Source organism: Homo sapiens, chromosome 7 (assembly GCF_000001405.40).
Source record: "Homo sapiens chromosome 7, GRCh38.p14 Primary Assembly".
NCBI lineage: Eukaryota > Metazoa > Chordata > Mammalia > Primates > Hominidae > Homo > Homo sapiens.
The window spans coordinates 141,535,191-141,560,931 of NC_000007.14; the positions used below are offsets into that span (position 1 = coordinate 141,535,191).

General features: G+C 41.3%; 1 protein-coding gene and 1 long non-coding RNA gene across 10 annotated transcripts in view, besides 2 other annotated features; one reads left to right on the forward strand and one right to left on the reverse strand.

Annotated features, from left to right (window-relative positions):
- Positions 1–16,154, reverse strand: part of AGK-DT (AGK divergent transcript) — a 51,205-nt gene extending 35,051 nt beyond the window's left edge. For 4 of the 6 annotated variants that reach the window (NR_183408.1, NR_183403.1, NR_183407.1 and 1 more), the window contains exon 1: positions 15,954–16,154. This is a non-coding gene — a long non-coding RNA (AGK divergent transcript). Of the gene's footprint in view, positions 1–12,141; positions 12,211–15,953 lie in introns of all 6 variants that reach the window. The other 2 variants (NR_183405.1, NR_183404.1) reach the window with 1 other exon arrangement.
- Positions 16,015–16,104: a silencer, noted in NCBI's record as "silent region_18717". NCBI's record gives its function as "represses an Ori minimal core promoter by ATAC-STARR-seq in GM12878 lymphoblastoid cells {active_cell/tissue: GM12878}" and the evidence as "EXISTENCE:reporter gene assay evidence [ECO:0000049][PMID:35858748]".
- The window catches only part of AGK (acylglycerol kinase), a 103,835-nt gene continuing 94,313 nt past the window's right edge, over positions 16,220–25,741 (forward strand). For 2 of the 4 annotated variants that reach the window (NM_018238.4, NM_001364948.3), the window contains exons 1-2: positions 16,220–16,244; positions 20,263–20,377. In NM_018238.4, the coding sequence (NP_060708.1) occupies positions 20,277–20,377 (101 nt within the window). In that variant the 5' untranslated portion in view covers positions 16,220–16,244; positions 20,263–20,276. Of the gene's footprint in view, positions 16,429–16,493; positions 20,128–20,262; positions 20,378–25,741 lie in introns of those variants that run through there. The other 2 variants (XM_024446835.2, XM_011516397.4) reach the window with 2 other exon arrangements.
- Positions 16,285–16,464: a silencer, noted in NCBI's record as "silent region_18718". NCBI's record gives its function as "represses an Ori minimal core promoter by ATAC-STARR-seq in GM12878 lymphoblastoid cells {active_cell/tissue: GM12878}" and the evidence as "EXISTENCE:reporter gene assay evidence [ECO:0000049][PMID:35858748]".

Consider the following 25,741-nt stretch of genomic DNA (forward strand, 5'->3'; position numbering starts at 1 on the left):
TCTTCCTTTCTTTGACATCTCTCTCCTCTTCTTGGATTGCTTCCCGCTCTGCTGGCTCATCTTAACCTGCCCCTCCCAGGGCTTACTGGGTTTCAACGTTACCTCTCACACCTCTTCCGAGTTCCTCAGTGCTTGTCAGTTTGATGTTAGGAAAACAATCTAACCAAATTGATATTCATTATATTATGAGTCCTTTGTGCTTCAGGAGTATTTGTGATGGGAATAATTAAGCCTCCTTTAACTGGAAAATTTCAAATAGCTTCAGGGAGGTTTGGGAGAAAGAGCGTCAATGACTGTCTGAGTCTGTAACCCCAAGCTTGTCTGTTCCATTTTCCTGTGTCACATAGCCTCTGCCAGTGGATTCAGTGCTATTTATACTGGGACTCTCATCCCAGTCCTAAATCTAGCATAGGAGCAGACAGATAGATGCCAAAAAAATACAGCAACGATTCATGATAAAAACTCCCAGAAAACTAGAAATGCAAGAAACTTCCTTAACCTGATGAAGAGCACCTATGAAAAATATATAGCTAAGATAACTCTTAACGGTGAGATTCAGAATGCTTTTCTCCCCAAATCAGGAACTAGACAAGAATATCTACTCTCACCAATTCTATGCAATAGTCCCCTTAAATACTAATTGATAATATAAAGAAATAAAGAGATAAAAAATATTGAGATTGAAAAGCAAAAAGTAAAACTGCCCTTATTTGCATATGACATGATTGCATACATGGAAAATCCTAACAACTACAAAATGTACTATACCAAGGAAGTGTATTTAGTAAAGTTACAGTATCCATTTTTTACATGAATGTAAAAAAAAAAAAAAAAGTATATCTAGGCTGGGAGCCATAGCTCATGCCTATAATCCCAGCACTTTGGGAGGCTGAGGTGGGCAGATCACCTGAGGTCGGGAGTTCGAGACAAGCCTGACCAACATGGAGAAATCCTGTCTCTACTAAAAATACAAAATTAGCCGGGCGTGGTGGTGCATGCCTGTAATCCCAGCTACTCGGGAGGCTAAGGCAGGAGAATCACTTGAACCCAGGAGGTGGAGGTTGCTGTGAGCCGAGATCGTGCAATTGCACTGCAGCCTGGGCAACAAGAGTGAAACTGTCTCAAAAAAAAAAAAAAAAGTAATCTAGGCCGGTCAAAGTGGCTCATGCCTATAATCCCAGCACTCTGGGAGGCCAAAGTGGGTGGATCACCTGAAGTCAGGAGTTCGAGACCAGCCTGGCCAACATGGTGAAACCCTGTCTCTACTAAATTTACAAAAAATTAGCTGGGCATAGTGGTAGGCGCCGGTAATCCCAGCTACTCGGGAGGCTGAGGCAGGAGAATCGCTTGAACCCAGGAGGTGGAGGTTGCAGTGAGCCGAGATTGCGCCATTAGTGAAACTCCATCTCAAAAAAAAAAAAATGTATATCTATATTCTAGTAATCAACAATTGGAAATGGAAATTTAAACAATACCATGTATAACAGTACTAAACAGTGGAAAACACTGAAATATATTTAACAAAATATGGTGCAAGACATGTACACTTAAACTTAAGAAACATTACTAAGAAAAATGAAATAATACCCAAATAAATGGAGATAAATACCATATTTATAAATCGGAAGACTCAATTTTATAAAATGATTAAATCTTAAATTGGTCTATAAATTCAACATAATCTGGATCACAAGCACAGTTTTATTTTTTGTAGACAAAAAATAAATTGACAAGATGATTCTAAACTCTGTATAGAAATTCGAAGGACTTAGAATAGCCAAAATATTTTGAGAAAAGAGAACAAAATTGAGGACTTAAACTAGCCAATTTCAAGACTTACTAAAGAGCCTTATTAATCACGATAGCATGGTATTGGCATAAAGATGGACATACAGATCAATAAAACAGAGTAAAGAATCCAGAAAAACTCCATACATACATGGTTCAATGATTTGCCAAGGTAAGTCAGTGGAAGAAAGGATGGCATTTTAAGAAATAATGTTGGGCCAGGCACCATGGCTCATGCCTGTAATCCCAGCACTTTGGGAGGACAAGGCGGGTGGACCACCTGAGGTCGGGAGTTTGAGACCAGCCTGGCCAACATAGTGAAACCCCATCTCTACTAAAAATACAAAATTAGCTGGGCATGGTGGCATGTGCCTGTAATCCCAGTTACTCAGGAGGCTGAGGCAGGAGAATCGCTTGAATACTGGAGGCAGAGATAGCAGTGAGCCGAGATCGCACCATTGCACTCTAGCCTGGGCGACAAGAGAGAAACTCCATTTCAAAAAGAAAAAAAAAAAAAAAAAGGAAGAAAAGAAAGAAAAGAAAAGAAAAGAAAAGAAATAACATTGGAACAACTGAAGAGAGGCATATGGGAAAAAGAACCTCAACCCCTACCTCACACAGTTCACAAATATTAACTTAAAATAGGTAATAGACCTAACCAAAAAATAAAAATAAAAATTATAAAACTTCTGCAAGAAAAAAAAAATCGGAGAAATCGGAATGATATTGCATTAAGCAAAAAACTCTTAAATGGGCCCTACAAATATGAACTATAAAAGAAAAAAAATCAATAAATTGTACTTCACCAAATGTAAAGCTTTTGCTTTTCAAAAAGCACTGTTATAAAAATAAAGCACAACATAGACTGGAAGAAAATATTTGCAAAATATATCTGAAAGGGATTTGTATCTAAAATATATAAAGAACTTTAACAATTCAATAAGAAGAATTTTTTAAATGGGCAAAACATTTCAACAGATGCTTTGTCAATATCTTCCACAGATGATTAGATATATTAGGATGTCTTCAGTTTTAAAACTAACATACCAAGTGCTGGTGAGGATGTGGAGCCATTGGAAGTCTCATATCCTGCTTCCAGGAATGTAAAGGAGTGCAACCAGTTTGGAAACTAGTTTGACAGTGTCTTAAGAAATTAAACACACTTACATAAAACCCAGCCATCACTTTCCTATGTATTTACCCAAAAGAAATAAAAACATAAACATATATCACAAAAAGACTTGTATACAAATGTTGAATGCACCTTTGTTTATAATGGCAAAAAGCCTGAAACAACCTAAATGTCTGTCAACAGGTGAATGAATGAAAAAAATTGCAGTAAACCCATGCAATGGGCTACTAGTCATCAATAAGAGCAAACTACTGAAGCACACAATGGATAAATCTTAAAAAAAAAAAAAACCGTGTTGAGAGAAAAGCCAGAAACAAAAGGTTCTATATTGTACAATTCCATTTATGTAAAACTCTAAAAGATACAAATTAACATACAGTGGTAGAAAGAAGATTAGTGATTGGCTGGTGTTGGGGTGGACTGAGGGAATGTAGGAACTGACTGGAAAAGAATAAGAGAACACTTGGGTGGCAATGGAAATGTCTGTATCTTCATTGTGGCCAGTATAGGAACATACGCATTTATCAAAAGTCATCAATCTGCACACTAAAAATGGGTGCATTTCGTTGTATGTAAATGTTATGCCAATAAGATTTATTTTAAAAATTGTAGTGGGAATGCAAGGAGAAGAAAGGGGGTAATTTTGGTATATTTCTATGTTAGAGTGGGCAGATTTTGAGTAGGTTTATATGCTAAGAGGAAAAGACAGTGGAGATGGAGGGAGAAAATACCAGAGTGAGGAAAGGACTGATGAGGCAGATTTCTCGGGGACGGGAAGATGGGGGTGCCATCCCAAGCACGGGTGGATGGATGAGCTGTGGATGGGAGGAGTGAACATAAGCTCCCTGAGTCTGCAGCAGAGGAAAGTGGTTGTACTATTAAGTTTGAACAAAGACAAATGTAATTTTGTATGTGGGAGGGCAGAAAGCAAAGGAAGTTCATGGCTCATTCAATCATTCAACCTTTATTTATTTTATGCCAGGCACTTTATAAATAAAGATATGGATATTCTGTAAGAAAGAATAATACTGTTTCTGCTCTCATATAATTTAGAATACAGTAGATGGGGGGCATTAAACAATTAAAGAACTAAATACATAATTACAGATTATTATGAATGCCATACAGGTTAAGGAATCTATTAAAGAGGGCAACAGAAGGAACCTAATTTAAACAGATGGCTCAGGGAAGGTCTCTTGAGTGAAGCCACCTTTCAGCTGAGAGGAGGAAGGTGAGAAGGAGTTAGGTGATAAGTGAATGGAATGGCTTCAGTGAAGACCTTAAGGTTGGACAGATTTGGGTACATTTTGATACAGAACAATAATTATATGTGAGTTTTAAGAGATTAATATAAAAAATGAAACCATAGAAAACTCCAAGAAAATATAAATAAATTTTGATCACTAGATAGAGGACTCTCCAAGAATATGCCTGAGATTTAACTACATAAAATTCAAGAGGTTTTTTTCTTTACTTTTATTTCGAAACATATTGTAAACCAAGTGCTAAATATTTGCAACAAATAAGTCAAAGGATTACCATCCTTACTACATAAAGAGCATGTATCAAACTGACAAGAAAAGCATTAAAACATCAACAGAATCCAGTTAGTAGATCATCCTTCTAAAATGATTGATCCTTTAGTCATTTAGGTAAGTTTATAGAATTTTAAAAATAAAAATAAACATAAAAAGCAAGTTGGGAAAATAGAATAAAAATACAAGTAAAAGACAGGCAAATTTCTATGGAAGAGGAAAATGGCTGGATAGATGAAAAAATAGTTTTACTCATAACCAAAGAAATTTAAACTGAAAAAATGAAATACTATTTTCCCAGCAATTAAATAAGTAGACATTGGGCAAAACAATACTTATTGATGGCAAGGGTGCTATGAGAGGCACTATCCAGTGAAGATAGTGGGAACATAAATTGGTTATAAGCTTTTAATTAAAAAATTTGGAAAAATGCATCTGGAACCTCAAATATATTTCCTCTGATTCATTAATTCTAGTTTTAAAAACTAACCCTACATTTATAATAAATGACGTCAATTATTTAAATTTTTTAAGTTAAAATCTTAATGGGTAGTCATTCAACAGTAAAGGAATAGACCAGGTGAGATGACTCACTCCTGTAATCCCAGGACTTTGGGAGGCTGAGGCGGGCAGATCAGTTGAGGTCAGGAGTTCGAGACCAGCCTGGCCAACATGGTGAAACACTGCCTCTACTAAAAAAATACAAAAATTAGCCAGACGTGGTGGCACGTCCCTGTAATCCTAGCTACTGGAGAGGCTGAGGCAGGAGAATCACTTGAACCTGGGAGGTGGAGGTTGCAGTGAGCTGAGATCGTGCCAGCCCCACTGCACTCCAGCCTGGGCAGCAGAGTGAGACTCCATTTCCAAAACAAAAACAAAACAGTGAAGGAATAAACAGTGATATATTCAATATTGAAAATATTATGATCTATGGTCATTGGAACAATGTGGCCCTAAGGACAAGGGACTTTTACTACCATACCAATCCCAAAGACATCACACTGGCTAGTCCACTGCATTAATGCATCAGAGTAGGGGAAGGGCGCTGTGCACTGCACCTTCTACCAAAAGAAGGCACATGTTTTCGAGGCAGCAAGTATAAGATTTGTGTGTGCTCCAGTACCCACTTGAGAGGTGAATGAAAAGCTACCAGGTTTCAGTGAGCTCAGAGCATGAGAAGATTCCTCTGCTGATCAGATATGATCTGATTTTGTCCTTTAGATCTAATCATGCTTCCAGTGTCTACAGACAGCTCAGCTTACAGTAAGACCCCATGAAGGATTCACAGACTTGGTTTTGGTCATGCTTTGCCAGAACCACTGTCTGGGGACTTACGGTAGGTCTTATAAATGATTGTAGTTTCTTGGACAACATTGCTTCTAACCAAGGACCCCAAGTTAAATAATGGGTTATAGCAGACGAGAATCACTGGTCTTATCATGTGATACCCAACAACCCAGAAGCAGCTGTCCTTATAGAATAGTGGAATAACCTATTATACTTCACTCATGCCCTCAGTTAAATAAATGCTTTCAATATAAAGTGCTGCCTGTAAGATTAAGAATATTCTTTGAACCAGCTCAATATATGATGCAGTTCTTCCATTAACCAGAGTACATAAGTCAGGGAACTAAGTAGTAGAATTGAAGATGGACCATCTCACAAATACTCAATGACCTCTGTTCACAACTTTTTGTTCCATGTCCCCATTGTATAGAACACTTAATACTCAATAAAGGAACTCTAGCACCAAGAGATTAATAGTCATGCTGAATTTGAAGCTTAGACTAGCAGCTGGTCAAGACAGGCACACAACAGGGTTTTTAGTCAGTGTGTCCAACACATGCATTCATTCGTGACTAACAGCTCCACTTATCTCTTTTCTAGCTGTCGCTGTGGTGACAAGCTTTGCATGTGCTCTGGCTGACTTTAGAGAGGCATTGTCAGATGGAACCCAAGCCTCCTGCCTCCTTCTCCCTGGGCTCCCTTGTTGGCACAGCTGTGAAGCCCTGCTCAGCACCCACACCTGTGCTTCCTGGAAGTGTAGGTTGTTAACACACTGTGGGGCAAACTTTTGACCAGTGGGAGGCAAGAACTGGTGGATAAATCCTTCCACTTACCTCTCCTCTATGGGATGGTTCTTGAGAGTCAGTTTATATGGATTTTTTGGAAGACTGCCCCTTTGAATGAAGCAACTGGTCACACTTAACAGTGGTCAGCTCAATACCACATCCTCATTTGGGCTGTCCTGCCTTTGCACTCCCCTTGCTTCTCATCATCCTCCTTGGAATTGCATGTCTTAATAAAGTAACAACATATGAGCCCCAACCCACAAACTCTACTTACTGAGGAACCCAGGCTGAGACAGCTAGCAATGTGCAAGGGGCATGGGTGAGCATGCACACATATGCACACACACATACACACCCTGTATCATACAAACACTACTGAAATGTAAAGGAAGGTTTGTTGAGAAAAACAATAGTGGCAGCAAAGGGAGGAGGAGGAAGAGAGTGCATATGACATGATCCCTTAAATTCTTATTATTTCATATTGAGGTGTTCTTGGATTGGGCACAGCTGGTCATACTGTGGAACGTCCTCCAGGAATGGAATCCTGTCCCTTCTGCTTTTGATATTTCTAGGGAAGTTGGGAGACAGACAGAAACACCGGGTCTACTATGTGATGCTGGGAGCATCCACACCAAGGAAATGACTAGGATCTGGAACTTAGCTAGGGGAGTCTGCACAGCAAGCCAGAGATTTTGCATTCTTTGTTGAGCTAGCTCAGTCCTACCAACTGAGCTTATAGTTAAGCCTGCTAAAGTTGGGAGGGAAGCAAGTCACCAGAGGCCCTAAGCAAAAGATTTTTTCTCATCAGGGACAATTCACCACAATTTTCAAGGGGAAATAAAGTTGCTGCTGTGCAATGAGGGCAGGAAGATGAATGCATGAAACCCAGAAGAACACACTGGACACCTCTTTATATTGCCATATCCAGTGGGAGTGTTAATGAAAGACGACTACATTTCCAACCAGGCAGGACCCAGAACTCAATCCTCCAGGAATGAAGATCAGATCGCCCTTACCCTCTGCAAAAACAAACCAAAACAAAAAGCCTAGCTTGAGACCAGGTGCAGTGGCTCACACCTGTAATCCCAGCACTTTGGGAGGCCAAGACGGGGGAATCACTTGAGGGAGGCCGAGGAGGCAGATCACTTGAGGCCAGGAGTTCGAGACTGGTCTGGCCAACATGGTGAAACCCTGTCTCTACTAAACAAACAAACAAGCAAACAAACCAAAAAGCCTAGCCAGCTGAGGGCTGGCCTGAGGTAAGGAGGTATGAAATGAATTACAGAGGGGCAAGTCAGAATCACAGCCACAGCCCAGCAGCAAGTGGCAGAACCAAGAACGGCAACCTCCACTCGTGTTTCCCTTTTGTAAGGTCACATGCATTTATATGTTTCCATTTAATTTCCTTTGCTTCCCTGTAAAATTTGCCTTTAATGTTCTGCAGTTTCAGTCTGATGTATCTGCTGGGTTTGTTTGTTTGTTTTGAGACAGAGTCTTGCTCTGTCACCCAGGCTGGAGTGCAGAGGCCTGATCTCAGCTTACTGCAACCTCTGCCTCCCAGGTTCAAGGGATTCTCCTGCCTCAGCCTCCTGAGTATTTGGGATCACAGGCACCTGCCACCACGCCCAGCTAATTTTTGTATTTTTTTAATAGTGATGGGGTTTCACCATGTTTGGCCAGGCTGGTCTCGAACTCCTGATCTTGAGTGATCTGCCTGCCTCAGCTTTCCAAAGTGCTGGGATTACAGGCATGAGCCACTGCACCCGGCCTGCTGTTATATTTTGAATACTGCCTCTTCCCATCTCTCTACTCTCTCATTCTGGAGCTCCTATTAGACATCTATTGGATTTCATTCTGTCTTCCAGAACCTTAACTCTTATTTATATTTTGCCTCTCTTTTTTCTCTTCTTGCTGTATTTGGTTAATATCCTCACATCTGTCTTCTAGTTCAATAATTTTCTCATCAGCTGTATTTAATCTCCTCTTTAACTTATCACTGAATTTTTAATTTTAGTAACTATGCATTTTAAAAATTTCTGGGTGTTATACTGAGTTCTTTTAAAAATTTGCTATTTTGTTTTTCTTTGTGCCTTGTATTCTTCTTAAGATTAAAATTTTTTTCTTTAGTAATGATTTTGATCATTTTGAACTATTTTATTTTAAACTATAATTCAATTATTTTAAGTTTGTGGGGCTCTAATTCTCCTATGGGTTTTTTTTCCCTCACTTACTCAAAGTAAATCATTTTTTCATGTATTTTGTGATTTTTTAAAATTGTGACATCTTTAGAAAGGTTTTTTAAAAAATAGGAAAATCCTTTTTGGCCTGGTATGGGAGCATTCCCCCAGAGGCCTTTGTGTTTGCTTCTGTCAGACACTCAAAGCTATTATCACTATGAGACTAATTTTTATATTAACTTTCCCAGTTTTGAGACTTCTGTACCACTGAGATAACGTGTATTCAAATCAGAAAACCCACCCTAGGCACAGATTTGGTGTTATCACTTATTTGGGGACTCTTTTTCCACCTAGAGCTCAGGCTGGGACACACCACTTCCTTGTCATCTTCCTATATTGGTGAGTAGATTTTTAAAAATTTTTTTCCCTAGTGATTGTAGTCAGAGGTTTTACTTCCAGCTCCCTGACTTTGGAGGACCCAAGTTCTCATGTCTTGTGCTGAGACATAGCTTCTAGATTGTTGAGCCGGAACCCTCAAGCCAGGCAATGACATCATCGGCTCATATATTTCTATTTTAGCTTTCAGGTCCCGCTTATTTTCTGGCCCCATGGGATGAAGCTTCCTTTACGGCAAGTTCAGTTATGCACTATGAATCCTCTTGTTATGTTTTAACCCGAATTTCTAGGTATTGGAATAGGTAGACTTTTCAGGTCTACTACCTTGCCAGAACCAAAATTCCAAAAAAGTCTTATAATGATGGTGTGTACCTGTTGTTCTCCAATGCCCTATACTTAGAGCAATTCGTAGTTTAAAAAATAAGAAAATTCAGAGTTTTTATTATATGGTAACTTATTAGGATGACACTACCATAATTACTATTTTGTTTGAAATTTGGTTTCCTAAAAAAAAAAAAAAAAAAAAAAAAAAAAATTAAAAAAAAAACTGCTGGTCTCTATGCTCCTGGAAATGAAAAAATGAATTACCAAAGTAAAAAACTTAACATTCATTCCAGGTAGAATTTCCCTTTTCTTCTTCCAGGGTACTTAGAATTTGGGTTACTCCTGAAAACCAAAATTTGCAAAACAATGTTGGAGACCTGGCTCAATACAATCAATGTGGGCCCTACCTTTGTTCCTACTCACTGCCATATTAAACAGGCAGCTGGGAAGTGCCGACCAGGGCCTAGCTGGAGTCAGGAGGAATAAGTGGCAAAGGATGACAAGAAGACACATTAACAAGAGAAGTCACATTCAGGAAAATGCAGGGCCCATATAGATCATGGGTGACAATGGGCAGCATAGAGGGTTCTTATAAAACCTCATGCAATAATGTGAAAACATATTCTCTCTCCTAGGAACCTGTTGGTTTCTTGAAAGGCCTCATTTACATGTTTCCAATCTGGTAGCAATAGATTCAGTGGATATTAAAGGTCATAATAAGGAAAGGATTTTAAGCATAAATACCACAAGAACACCATTTCATATTTTTTTCCTTAGGGGAAACAAAGTAGTCTAAAGAAGTATCTACATGCAAAAAATGAGCAAATAAACCAAGATAAGTCTTAAAAGAATTTGTACATAATTTTCCATGATCAAAGTACTCACCCTGGGAAGCATCTGTTCCCACAAGCAGGTTTCATTGGCGATGCTACATAGTAAGGTTACTAATGGTCATAAGGACACTATATCTTTTTTTGAACTTTTAACTCTATTTTAGTGTTAATGAATCTACAGAAAAAGAGCATAGCACTGGTCCAAGGTCCAGGGAAATGACTGGAGGATGATTTTAGGAAAAACCAAAGGTTAAGCATCCCATTGATGTCAACTTGCTTTCTTCTGTCATCGATTTTCACCCTTAAAACCTTGCCATAGGCCAGTGTTGTGGCTCACACCTGTAATCCCAGCACTTTGGGAGGCTGGGGCAGATGAATCACAAGGTCGGGAGTTCGAGAGCAGCCTGGCCAATATGGTGAAACCAGTCTCTACTAAAATACAAAAATTAGCTGGACTTGGTGGCCCATGCCTGTAGTCCCAGCTGCTCAGGAGGCTGAGGCAGGAGAATCACTTGAACCCGGGAGGTGGAGGTTGCAGTGAGCAGAGATCATGCCACTGCACTCCAGGCTGGGCGACAGAGCAAGACTCCATAAACAACAACAACAACAACAAAAATCACACAAAAAAACCTTGCCATCATTTTTTTTTTTCTTTTAAATCACTGTCCTCGTTGTGTTTCCTATCCACCAATATAGCCTATGGCTTGCAGTTTATCAAGTTGGGGCTCATGGCTCCAGGGAACAGAAAACCCTGACTCCCCCCTAAACAATAAGGGAATTTATTATTTCACATAATAGGATGTCCCAGAGTTTGGGCAAACTCCAGACATAGTACAACCATTTGGTTCCGTGATGTCATTGAGGACCTGGGCTCTTTATCTTTTTCCTCTGACATTCTCTGTGAGTTGGCTTTGCCCTAGGGCTGGCTCCCTTCATGGATGAAGAATGACTATAGCAGTTTCAGGCATTACATACACATATATGATCCTATAGGAGAAAAGTGCGACCATCTCTTTCTCTTTTTTAAAAAACAGCTTTATGGAGATATAATTCACATACCATACAATTTTCCTACTTAAACTTTATGTTTCACTGAGTTTTAGTAGATTCATAGTTGTCCTACAACCACCACCATCAATTTTAGAACATTTTCATCTCCCTAAAAATAAATCCCATACCCATTAGCAATCATTTCCCACTTCTCCCCAACCTCCCCCCAACTGCAGTCCTAGGCAACCTCTAATCCATGTTCCATTTTCATGCATCTGCCACTTCTGGTGGTTTCATGTAAGTGGAGTCATACACTATGTGGTCTTTTGTGACTGGCCTATTTCGCCTAGCCTAATTTTTTTTTTTTTTTTTTTTTTTTTTTGAGATGGAATCTCACTCTGTCACCCAGGCTGGAGTGCAGTGGCGTGACCTTGGCTTACTGCAGCCTCCGCCTCCCAGGTTCTGGTGATTCTCCTGCCTCAGCCTCCAGGTGGCTGGGATTACAGGCATGCACCCCTGTGCCCAGCTAATTTTTGTATTTTCAGTAGAAATGGGGTTTCACCATGTTGGCTAGGCTGGCCTTAAACTCCTGACCTCAGGTGATACTCCTGCCTTGGCCTCCCAAAGTGCTGGGATTACAGGTGTGAGCCACTGCACCCGGCCCACCTAGCCTAATGTTTTTAATGTTGATTGCCATTTCTTTCTTGAATTCTCCCTTTTAAGAAGGAAACCTTTCCTAGAGATCTCTCAGCAGACTTCCTTTTAAGACTGTTCTAAATCGAGTGACATGATCTATTCCTAATCTAATCATTGGAGATGGAAGAGGAATGACTGTGATTACCTAAAGTGACTGTAAACTAACCCTTGGCAAAGGGGATGGGGTTATCTAGTCACCTGCTTTGTAGTTACAGGCAAACAGGGGCTGGGAAGGTGAAGAGTGGATGTCTGAACAAAATTTAATTCCTGTTAGGAAAGAAGAAAGGGGCAATGGATGTTAGGTAAGGAGATAAAATGTACAATACACTTTAATGATACAACATAACAGTTACGAAAGAAGCTAAGAATGGTGAAGGGGGCTCCACTTACCTTTGGTTTATTTATTCCACCAGTCTTCCTTCCTTCCTTTTTGTTTTACACCTGTAAGCTTCAGACTCTAGAGTGGTGGGTTCACCAACCACTCCAAATCCTACCCCTGCAATGGATTTTATTATACCACCAGGTTGAGTGAAGCTGACCAACTTCAGGGGCTTCAGGGAGGTGGTAAAGGCAGGGAGGGGATAACTGAGAGGTGAGAGTCACACAGTGCCCACTTTCTAGGTAATCAATTGACAGCAATTCAGCATGCCATCATTGCTGTTCTAGCTGTATGTAGTTGATGTACACAACTGAGAGGGAGGTTGCAAGTATGAGAATTTTTTATACACATATAAAAAATTATATATCTCTATATATCTTGTCAATGAGCAAAAAATTGAAATGTGAGACTACCTTAAACCTTGATTCTTTCTCTCGTCTTATGTTCTTGAACACTCTTCCACAGTAGGGGGCAATCTGACTGGAGAGTGAAATACTCTTTCTTGTTGAATGACCATGGCACTCCTGTCTTAGTTTCTTCTCACCCTATTTCTAGGCCAAGGTCATTTCCCTGTAACATCCTTAATAACGGATTCTGAGCCCAGACCAGGCACGGTGGCTCATGCCTGTAATCCCAGCACTTTGGGAGGCTGAGACAGGCGGATCACCTGAGGTCAGGAATTCAACACCAGCCTGGCCAACATGGTGAAACCCCATCTCTACTAAAAATACAAAAATTAGCCAGGCGTGGTGGTAGGCTCCTGTAATCCCAGCTACTTGGGAGGCTGAGGCAGGAGAATTGGTTGAACCCAGGAGGTGGAGGTTGCAGTGAGCTGAGATCACGCCATTGCATTCAGGCCTGGGTGACAAGAGCGAAACTCTGTCTCAAAAAACAGACAAACAAAACCAAACAGATTCTGAGCCAAGAGAATGTTACCTCAGGATTGGTTCTGGACTAATGAGAAGCTACTGGGATGGTCAGCCACCATATTTGGAAAATGCTAGAGATCTTGAGTTGTAAGACTCTTCCATTCCTGGGAGCTACTAGATGTCAGTCAGTACATTCGTCCTCAAGGGAACATAAATTCATTTTGTAAGCAACTGGGGCCCATACTTTCAATGTGTCACTTATTTCAATATGCATAAAGTATAGTATTATATGTGGCAATGTGTTAGTTGTGAAAAGAGACACAAGTCCCTATCCTTGACAGTGCAAAATGTTCTTCTCTGACGATCCCAGGCAAGAGCTGAAGACCCAGGCAAATTCCAAATAGCTCCTTGGGAACCTCGCTCAGCTGTTAGTGATAGTGAACAAAGAACATGGAAAAGGAAGTACATAAGCCAAGCCCTTCTCTCTGGCTGTGTGCATTTGGATCTGTCTTTGGTCCTCTCTGTGGCATGAATGTGCCATTGAGCCTCAGGGACTGTGCCCGAGGCACTGTTCCAGGCCTCTAAGGGCCAGAGTGTCAGACCTGAGTCTTCTCTGGCATCGTAGATCCTTAACACGGATCAGCAAAGGAAGCTCTCCAGGACTCTCTTTGACTATGAGAGGGAACTTGTGTTAATCCTTGACTAAGAGTTTTGTTTTGTTTTGTTTTGTTTTTTGAGAGGTAGTTTTGCTCTTCTTGCCCAGGCTAGAGCGCAATGGCGCGATATCGGCTCACTGTAACCTCCGCCTCCCAGGTTCAAGCAATTCTCTTGTCTCAGCCTCCCATGTAGCTGGGATTACAGACACCTGCCACCACGCTTGGCTAATTTTTGTACTTTTAGTAGAGACAGTTTCACCATATTGGCCAGGCTGGTCTCAAACTCCTGACCTTAGGCAATCCACCCATCTTGGCCTCCCAAAGTGCTGGGATTACAGGCTTGAGCCACTGCGCCCAGCCTAACAGAAGTTCTTGGGGCTGCCTAAGTCAGAGTGTCAGGTTTCTGTTGGGCTGCAGGAACCCATTCAGGGCTGGCTAGAGCTTGTGCCTGATTATTCTGGAATCTGAATGCATCCTAGTAAAATGGTATTTGGAAGAGAGTAGAATTGGTATAGGTCTCCAAAACTCCAACCTACACATCTGCCTGCAGGTGTGTATTCAGATTCCCTTAATCTCCTATATTTCCATCCTTCTTCATCCTTCATCAAAGCTGACCTTTTCTTATTTGGGGAACCACTTTCATGCTGAAGCCCTAAAGCATACGCTGAGTCTGACCCTTGGAACATCAAAATCAAGTCTCAGATTTTTCTAGCCTGCAGGTGAGCAGTTCAGAAGCTTATTTCCAAACACAAACGCTTTAGATAGTTGGAAAAGAGGAACTGAAAATAATGGTCTTCCATACCCTATGACAACATTTTAGAGCTAGAAGGGTTTTTTTTTAATAGTAATGTTCTCAGTCCCCTAGTTTACAGATGGAGACTCAGGAGAGAGGGCTAGAAATTTCTTGCTACTAAACAGTGTGGCCCAATGGATTGGTGCACCCTGGCATAAGGAATATGTTTACTGCACCATAGCCTCATTGAAGGTCCCCGCCCCGGCCTTTTTTTTTTGAAGCATTCACCTAGGGAGACATAGGTAGGATGCATGTCTACACGTAGGAAATGTGCAGACTAGATAGCAAGCTCCATGGGGCAGGAACCATGAAGGGCCTTGTACCTGAGCATACCCCCAGTGCCTGATGCAGGGCCTAGTGCACACTCAAATGTTGGTTGACTGGCCGGGTGCGATGGCTCATGCCTATAATCGTAGCACTTTGGGAGGCCAAGGCGGGCAGATCGCTTGAGGTCAGGAGTTCGAGACCAGCCTGGCCAACGTGACAAAACCCCCGTCTTTACTAAAAATACAAAAAAATTTAGCTGGGCCTGGTGGCACACACCTGTAATCCCAGTTACTCGGGAGGCTGAGGCACAAGAATTGCTTGAACCCGGGAAGCAGAGGCTGCAGTGAGCTGAGATTGCACCACTGCACTAGCGCCTGAGCCACAGAGTGAGACCCTGTCTAAAAAAAAAAAAAAGTTGGCAGACTGAATGCTGGAAAGAAGAAGGACCTGGCTTTGTCCCCACACCAATCTGGTGGGCGAGTACAGAATGTAAACTGTCTGGAGGTTGGCATTGGCCTAGCTTCTCCGTTGCTCTCTTGTTCTCTAGAATCCAATCAAGCACCTGTGGCCAGAGAGCTGTGTGAAATGGAAACCAGTCCCACCAGCCCCTGATTGCACCCCCGCAATGTCTTCTCGCCCTGTTTAATGTCATGTCCAAACTCCTGGCCGCCGTGGCCTGTCTCCACCTCTCCAGCTTCCTCGCTTGGCCTGTCTCCTTAGCTCTCTCTGTCTCACCCACACTGGCCTGCAACTCGCCAGAGTGCCCCAGGCTTTTCAGCTTTTGCACGGGCCCTTCCCTCTCCAGGCTCTCTCCCCTGGATCTTTGCTTCAGCTGCTCCTTCTTGACATCCAGGTCTCAGACCAATGGCCCCTTACTCAGAAGGCCTAGCGCAGGCCGCCTAATTTCACACAGTTCTCCCCCTTCCCGCACTGCCTTCCATCACCTCGTTTCATTTTCTTCGTGGCACGGAGCACCATCTCCAATGGCCTTGTTCATTTAGTTAATTTATTTTCCGACTTAGTTCCAGGTGCTAAAACAGTGTTACCTTGGCAGGCTTCCCATCAAATATTGTTGCGCAAAGGATGGATGGATGAAAGGAAGAGTGAGCCAATAAACGAGGGAACGCCGGGAAAGGCAGCCTCAAGCCGGTGGGCCCTGCCACCCCCACCGTCCCTGAGCATCCGAGCCGGTTCCCGCCCCCGGCCCGAACTGGCCCGCGCGCGCTCGCAGCCCCGCGGCGGAACCCGAGGGCGGCGGCAGCGGTTTCCCTTGAACGAGCCGGGGAATCTGGAGGGAGCACACAGGAAAGGCAGAGCCGCGAGCTGGACCAGCCGTGGTGAGTGCAGCGGCGCCCAGGCGGGGAGCGCAGTGCGGGTCGCTGGGACTGAGCGCGCGAGCGGGGTGGGAGTCGGGATGGGGGCCCGGGGCGCTGGGCGGAGCCTCTGGAGTCGCGCTGGGCCGAGAGCCGCGGGGACCCAAGCATCAGGGGTCGTGGGTGCAGGCGGCGGCGCGGCTTGAGGGTAGGGGGTGCGGGCCTGGCCGGCGCGGCAGGGGAGGGCCTCGCGCGGATCCCGTGGTCACGGCGGGAGTCAGCTGTCCTGGGTTCGAGTCCCAGAGCTGTCGCTAACTTGTGGACCCCCCTCACTTCGTCCCTTGGGCTTCAGCATAGCCCTTTGCAAAATGGGGCCAATAGTATCAGATCCATTGATGGGTTGGTTGGTTCATTCATTCTGGCGCTTTACTAGGTTCTGGTGCTGCAGATGGATAGACGAACTTGCCCATGAGGGGTTCACTATCTAGTAAGAAAAACATTTCCACCTGGATACTCCACAGGCGTGTCAAATTCAGTATCTCCTAAACCGCACTACTTTTCTCCACAAACCTACCACTCAAATCTAAATGACTGAAATCACTATTCAACCAGTCACCCAAGCACAAAAACCTGGCTTGGTTCCTCCTCTCTCACTTACTACAGTCAATGGACCACCAACTGCTGCCAATTTCTACTTTCTAAAGCTTTCCAAATCCATCCTTTATCTTGGTTTGTTCTTTTAGGAGCCTACAGATTATGGCAATAACTTCCTAATGGTTCTCTTTAGCTTTAATTTTAGCTTCTTCCAGTTCATTTTTCATTCTGCTATAAAGTGGTCTTTTAACAGTTCAAATATGATTATATCACTCACCTGCTTAAAGCCCATTAAAGGTTTTTCATTGTCTTCAAAATAATAGCCAAAGTCCTTAGTGTGGGTTCAAGGTCTTTTCTAATCCCACCTGGTCTTCAATCCTTTATCTCTAAACCACTGTTTCTCAAAGTCTGGTATAGTGGTGACCTCCATTGCAACCAACATGGGAGTACTTGTTAACAAGTGAAGATGACAGCTTAATTCCAGAACAAATGAGACTCTTGCGGGAAGGGGCAGTTCCCAGGATTCTGTGTTTTTAACAAGTTCTGCACTAAAGGTTGAGAACCCCTGTTCTAGACACTCCAATTTTTACTCCGCTGTTGATGAGATTCAGGACACACTGCCGCAAAATATGACTCGTTGGCATTAGAGGAAACAACTGAAGCAGGAAAGTCACTTTGTGTCTTCCCACTTTTCTCCCCTGAAGCAGGCCATAAAAGAATTGTTTGACCTTCTTCTGTATAAGACCCTTCAGTGAGAGGTGCTCATCCTGTAAGTATAGGATCGAGGAAAGGAATGCCCTTATCTTTGAAGACACAGGTACACAGAGAAGAATCAGAACAAATAGGCCTTGCTAAATTCTCCCCAGCGTATTACTGTTAGATCATACCCCCTTTTTCCAGTCTCAGCCATGAACCTAATTCTCCCCTCAACTATCTACGTATGTTTCTCTCAACACACTTTACTGTCTTTTATGCCTTTGTACACTCTCAGTTTGGGCTACTGTAAAAAAAAAATAGCAAAAACTGGGTGGCTTAAACAACAGAAATTTAATTCTCACAGTTCCGGAGGCTGGAAGTCCAAAGTTAAGGTGCCAGCATGGTTGAGTGCATGGTGATAGCTCTCTTCCTCGGTTTGTAGAGATCTGTCTTCTTGCTGTATCCTCACAATGCAGAGAGACCATCTCTGTAGTGTCTAGTCTCATAAGGACACTAATCCCTTTCATGGGAGCCACTCTTATGACCCAATTATCTCCCGAAGGCTCTATCTCCTAATACCATCTCAATGGGGATAGGGCTTCCACATCACCATTTTTGGGGAACACAGCATTCAGACAATAGCATCCACAAAACTCCTTCGTTACTTTAGTGATTTCCTCCTCATTATTCAAGGCTCAGGGAAGACTTCATTGACTGTGCACCACCCCCTCAGCCCTAGACCAGGTTAGGTTCATTCTTGCAGACTCTCACAAAGCCTTGTGCTGACTCCTCGACATTTATCCCACTGTACTGCAATCATAATTGTATAATTGTGTTAGCATTGTGGGTTTGACAGTTGTGAGCACTTGAGAGAACGCATGAGACCCATTCTTCTCTGCCCTCACCCCCAGCACAGAGCCTACCATATAGGTGTTTATTAAAGGGCTCTTGAATGAAGGAGTGATTTAGGGCCAGATGGAGAGGAGTTCAAGAATTAGTTGGGCCTTTGGAATCATGTGTCAGCCTGACGGTGTATGGGATTCACAGGAAGATGGTCTCCCTGGCACTGGCTTCACTGCTGCTTTTGATAAGGATGTTTCTACCCTTGAGAGGAATTTTAACCAATGGGATTTAAAGGGAGTCATAAAAGAACTGGACTTTTAAGTGGAAACAGTTTTTTTTTTCTTGGTCTATATACCTCACTAACAGATAGTCATAAAAAAATTTTGCTTAAATTTTTGTTTATCTAGAAAATAAGTTCATTTTCAAAAACTTAGAAAGTACATTGCAATTTTAAAAATAAACATCACCCACCATTCCACAACCTAGAGGGATCTACTTTAAAATTTCGTTTTTGAGCCAGGTGCAGTGGCTCACGTCTGTAATCCCAGCAATTTGGATGGCCAAGGCGGGAGGATTGCTTGAGGCCAGGAGTTTGAGACCAGCCTGGGCAACATAGTGAGACCTTGTCTCTAACAAAAAAAGGAAAGAAAAAAATTAGCCAAGTGTAGTGGTATGTGCCTGTGGTCCCAGCTACTTGGGAGGCTGAGGCAGGAGATTTGTTTGGGCCCAGAAGTTATAGTGAGCTATGATTGTGCCACTGGACTCCATCCTAGGTGACAGAGTGAGACCCTGTCTAAAAAAAAAAAAAAAAAAATTGTTTTTGTTTAATTGTATTGGTTTTCTTTTTAAATTTATACTCATGTTTGAACATAATTGGTATAATGCCAATTATATATGGCTTTTTATCCTGCTAATTTTACTTAACATTATGTTTTGGGTTTTTTCCCCCATCAGTAAAAATTTTGGGTAAAAAAATATTTAATTGCTATTTAACTTATTCATTGAACAAATATTTCTTAAACAGCTATTGTGTGCCGGATCTTACTTTAGGCATGGGATACAGCAGTGACCAGAATTATGTCCTTACTCTCATGGAGTTTACATTCCAGTAGGATTAGGCTAATAAATGAGCAAATGAATATAAGCATCACCAAATAATAAATGTCATGAAGAATAAAGATATTCTATAGTGTCACTCTGTTTTTTAGTAAAGTCTTCCTAATTTACCTTCTTTAAAGGAGTGTATGAGTGTCTATCATTTTGTTATGTCATCAGTGAATATGATCATTTAAAAATTTATTTTGGTCAATAATGATAGTTCTTTGTAATATGCATGTCTGATTATTCAGGAAGTTGAACATTTTTAGATAGCCATGTACATTGCCTCTTCATTGAGTTTTCTATCCATGTTTTCTGTTTCTTTTCCTATTGAGGACCTGGTATTTTCTTCTATTTTGAACTCGCCCTTCATATTATTATTTTTTGGGACACTTACATTATGATGGATAGACAAATGTATACTCTTAAACAGTGGTACAGTGAGGCTGTAAGGAGTTAGAAAAACCAGAGGAAGCCTGGAATTCCCTTCCTCTCTTTCTGCCCCTCCCTCTTCCTTCTATTGCAATGAAGAAATAGTGATCAGAGAGGGAAGAAGTATAGGTTAGGTGGAAATACGTGAAGGAAGAAAGAAAGGTGGATGGATGTGTGGGTGGATGAGAAGATGAAGATGATGGAAATAGAAGGGAGAAGATGAGCTGAGGCCAGAGGAGAAGTGGTAAGGAGGAAGAGGAGTGAGTGGGAAAAAAAGGAGTGAGAGAGGATAAAAGAATGGAAGACAGAGTAATAGGGACATTACATGAAGACCATGGATAAATTATATTTTTTTCTCTTTCCGCCTCTACTAACCTAGCAAATCTCTAGAAGATGACGGTGTTCTTTAAAACGCTTCGAAATCACTGGAAGAAAACTACAGCTGGGCTCTGCCTGCTGACCTGGGGAGGCCATTGGCTCTATGGAAAACACTGGTAACTATCTGACAGCCCCATCCCACCTTTGCATCTGCAGCAAAACAGCCCCAAAGGGCCTCAGGTTAAAATCTTGCTCAGCTGTGCTTATCCCTATAAAACATGTGGTGTAAAAGAAAAATAAATGCTATTCAAAGCAAAAACAAAGACTTCTTGTAACCAGAGCTGGAACTACATGCATACTTATATCCAGTGGTTAGAGAATAAAGTAGAGACATCAGAAAGGAAGCTATTTTTATTCATTATATTTATAGTGGAAGAGATTAAGACATCTTAGAGAAAGAGAAGTCCTTTCCCAAGTTAGTAGTGTGAACCCCCAAAATCTGAGACAGGTCTTAGTCAATTTAGTAAGTTTATTTTGCCAAAGTTAAGGACGTGCGCCTGCGACACAGCCTCAGGAAGTTCTGATGACACGTGCCCAAGGTGGTCTGAGCGCAGCTTGGTTTTATACATTTTAGGGAGATATGACACATCAATCAATATACGTAAGATGAACATTGGTTTTGGTCTGGAAAGGTGGGACAACTTGAAACAAAGGCAAGACAACTGGAAGTAGGAAGGGAGCTTCCAGGTCATAGGTAGATAAGAGACAAATGGTTGCATTCTTTTGAGTTTCTGATTGGCCTCTCTAAAGTAGGCAATCAGATATGTATTTATGTCAGTGAGCAGAGGGGTGACTTTGAATAGAATGGGAGGCGGTGGGGCGCAGTGGCTCATGCCTGTAACTCCAGCACTATGGGAGGCTGAGGCAGGTGGATCATTTGAGGTCAGGAGACCAGCCTGGCCAACATGGTGAAACCCATCACTACTAAAAATACAAAGATTAGCTAGGCAGTAGTGGCGTGCACCTGTAGTCCCAGCTACTCGGGAGGCTGAGGCAGGAGAATCGCTTGAGCCTGGGAGGTGGAGGTTGTGGTGATCCCAGATCGGGCCACTGCACTCTAGCCTGGGTGAGGGAGTGAGACCCTGTCTCAAAAAAAAAAAAAAAAATAAAGAATGGGAGGCATGTTTGCCCCAAGCAGTTCCCAGCTTGACTGTTTTTCTTTAGCTTAGTGATTTTGGGGCCCCAAGATTTATTTTTCCTTTCACAGTAGTAAGCAAGTACTGGAACTCATGTCTCCCTGGCATTTTATTCCTTCCATTTCTTACTATAGTCTCTTGATCTGTCATCAAGGGACACTTACTGAATTTGTTCCTCCATCCCCTGTTACTATCCTCATCTGTCCCATTAGCCTACATTAATTTAAATGAGAAGTAGACTTTCAAACCTTTTGTTTAAATAAAGAATTCAGAGGAGTCATGGATTTTATTAGTCTTCCTGCATGGAGGGAGAAGAAAGTGCCAGAGCTCCTCTTTTAGTTTAATATGGTAATAAGATTTAAATAAACAGAGAAGTTTTTTTGTATAAAAATTATACAAAAGACAGCCAATCAAATTGCAGTCTTTTGGAGATTAAGGACTACATTTTAAGTATGTAGCAACACTGAAATCCAGATGTCTTAAATGACTGCTTTGTTGAACAGAAAACAGAACAGTTACTCTTTGAATTAGAAGTCTCCACATTGGAAAAGAGATTCATATTGATATTTTGTGAACACTCAATTCACCACTGTGAGAATAACTTTATGATATAACATGATGTCTGCTTTTTTTGCAGCTGTGGAAAAATTGCAATACATTCCCCTTCTTTTCTTTCTAAGTGTTGTCAAGGCCAGGCATTCAAATTCCATTAGCCAGCATCTAAGGAAAAAAGCAGACATAAGAAGCTTAAAATTTGTAATTAAGAAAAGGGTGGAGCGGATATTTTAACAAATGGAGCATGGAATGTTTGGCTTCTCCTTTTTCTAACTACACTTGAGTCCTCAAGGCCCCTTTGCTGGAGCATCCAATCTAGGCCATGGCTAGGTCAGTCGGGGAAAATTCCCACCCACTGAGGATTACTGCTGTTTCTACGACTAGGTGAAGATTTGAGGAACTGTGTACTCTGTTCAGGATGTCTTTAGAGGAACCATGATAAGTTCTTGCCCATGTAGCCTTGAGACCTTAAAAAAGGACCATTAAGTCTTCAGGACTAATGGAGGCCTTGTTCTAAATTGGATCTGAAACAGCTTGAGCCAGAAGTGTGGTGGCAGCCTGGAGGCCTCATTTTGCTCTGTCTTCACCCTTGACATTCAATGTTACTGCCCCAAATGCAAACTCTTGTTGTCCTATTGCTTTTCTTTTTCTCAGACTGTTCTCTTGCATGATTTGGTACTATTTAGCCTTTTTAAAAAATTGTGGTGAAAAAACACAGGACATAAACATTTTCACCTTAACCATTTGTAAATCTGCAGTTCGATGGTGTTAAGTATATTCACATTGTTGTTCAACAGATCTCTAGAACTTTTTCATCTTGCAAAACTGAAACTCTGTACCCATTGAACAACTGCCCATTCCCGCCCCAACCCAGCTGTCCTTGACAACCACTATTCTACTTTCTGTTTCTAGGAATTTGACCACTTTATACTTTGTGTCAGTGAGTCATATAGTATTTGTATTTTTGTGGTTGGCTTATTTCACTTATAATGTCTATAATGTTTATATTATCTTTACCTTTTCTTTTTTTTTTGAGACGGAGTCCTGCTCTGTCACCTAGGCTAGAGTGTAGTGGTGTGATCTTGGCTCACTGCAACCTCTGCCTCCGAGGTTCAAGTGATTCTCTTGCCTCAGCCTCCCAAGCAGCTGGGACTACAGGCGCGTGCACCATGCCTGGCTAATTTTTCCATTTTTAGTAGAGATGGTTTTTTTTTTTTTTAACCATGTTGGCCCGCTGGTCTCGAACTCCTGACCTCAGGTGATCTGCCCGCCTTGGCCTCTGAAAGTGCTGGGATTACAGGTGTGAGCCACTGCGCCTGGCCTATATTATCTCTAAATGTAAAGATATATTCTTTACGTTTAAAGAGGTATGGTCTTTACATCTGTCAATGGACATTTTGGTTGCTTTTACCTCTTGACTATTGTGAAACATGCTATAATTAACTTGAGTGTACAGATACCTCTTGGAGATCCTGTTTTTAATTATTTTGGATATATGCCCAGAAGTGGGGATTGCTAGATCATATGGTAGTCTATTTTTAATTTTTTGAAGAGCTTTCATACTGTTTTCCATTGTGGCTCATCATTTTACAATCCCACAAACGGTGTACAAGGTTTTCAGTTTCTCCACGCCCTCATCAACACTTGTTATTTTCTGTTTCTTTGATATGGGCTATCCTTATGAGTGTGAGGTGATATGTCATTGTGGTTTTGGTTTGCATTTTTCTAATGATTAAGGAAGTCAAGCATCTTTTCACATGCATGTTGGCCATTTAAAAATCTTTGGAGAAATGTCTGTTCAAGTCCTTTTTCCATTTTTAATTGAGTTTTGTTGTTGTTGGCCTGTAGGAGTTCTTTATGGATTCCAGATATTAATCCCTTGTGAGATATAGAATTTTCAATATATTGTCTCCTATTCTGTAGCTGGCCTTTTTACACTATTGATCATGTCCTTTGATATATATTGTTTTTAGTTTCGTTAAGGCCCATTTGTCTACTTTTGCTTTTGTTTGCCTCTGCTTTTGGTGTTATATTCAAGAAATCATTGCTAAATCCAGTGTCATGAAGCTTTTCCCTATGTTTTCTTCTAGGAGTTTTATATTGGGTCTTACATTTAGGTCTTTAACAGATTTTGAGTTAATTTTTTTTATATGGTATAAGATAGGGGTTCAGCTTCATTATTTTCCATATGGATATCTAGTTTTTCCATTACCATTTGTTGAAGAGACTGTCATTTCCCCATTGCGTGGTCTTGGCATCCCTATTGAAGATCATTTGACCATATAGATGAGGATTTATTTCTGGGCTTTCTGTTGTTCATTAGTCTATATATCTGTATTTATGCCAATACCACACTGTTTTGATTACTATTGCTTTGTAATATATTTTAAATTTAGTACATATAAGACTTCCATCCTTGTTCTTTTTCAAGATTGTTTTGGATGTTTGGGGATTTCTTGAGATTCCATATGAATTTTGGGATGTTTTTTCTATTTTTGCAAAAAATGCCATTGGGATTGCATTGAATCTGTACATTGTTTTGTAGAATAGACATTTGAACAATATTAAGTCTTCTAATTTATGAACACGGGATGTCTTTTTATTGTACTCTTTAATTTCTTTCAGCAGTGTTTTGTTTTTAGCGTATAAGTCTTTTACCTACTTGCTTAAGTTTATTCCTAAGTATTTTATTCTTTTGATGCAATTGTTAATGGGATTGTGTTCTTAATTTCCTTTTCAGATTGTTCATTCTTAGGATATAGAAATATAACTGATTTTTGTGTGTTGTGTATCCTACAACTTTGCTGAATTTATTAGTTCTAACAGCTTTTTTTTTTGGTGTAGAATCTTTAGGGTTTCTACATATAAGATATGTCATCTGTGAATAGAGATAATTTTACTTCTTCCTTTCCAGTTTGGATGCCTTTATTTCTTTTTCTTGCCTCATTGCTCTGGCTAGAACTTCCTGTGCTATGTTGAGTAGAAGTGATGAGTGGACATCTTTGTCTTATTCCTGATCTTAGAAGAAAAACTTCCAGTATTTCAAAATTGGGTATGATGTTAGCTGTGGGCTCATCATAAATGACCTTTATTATGCTGTGATACTTTTCCTTTTGTTGCCCTCCCTCCGTTTTTTTTTTTGCCTATATATCCCCAACCTTTTCACAGAACAGTGCTCACATTCTTTATACCAAACTTGTTTTTACCCTGAGAAGATCTTACCCTGTAGTCTTCTTGAGTGGAAGCTGCCTTGTCCTTTCTTTCTTCTTCTTCTTTTTTTTTTCCCCCATCAGGTCATTTTATTATTATGGTTTTTACAAATTTTGTTTTATTTTAATAGTTTTTGGGGAACAGGTGGTGGTTTGTGGTTACATAGATAAGTTCTTTAGTGGTGATTTCTGAGATATTGGTGCACCCGTTACCCGAGCAGCGTACACTGTACCCAGTGTGTAGTCTTTTATTCCTCACCCCACTCCCACCTTTCCCCCTGAGTCCCCAAAGTCCCTTATATCATTCTCATGCCTTTGTGCCCTCATAGCTTAGCTCTCACTTATAAATGAGAATATATGATATTTGGCTTTCCATTCCTGAGTTACTTCGCTTAGAGTAATGGTCTCCAACTCCATCCAGGTTGCTGCAAGTGCCATTCTTTCTTTTTTTTTTTTTTTTTTTGAGCCGGAGTCTCGCTCTGTCGCCCAGGCTGGAGTGCAGTGGCACGATCTCGGCTCACTGCAAGCTCCGCCTCCCGGCTTCATGCCATTCTGCCTCAGCCTCCCAAGTAGCTGGGAC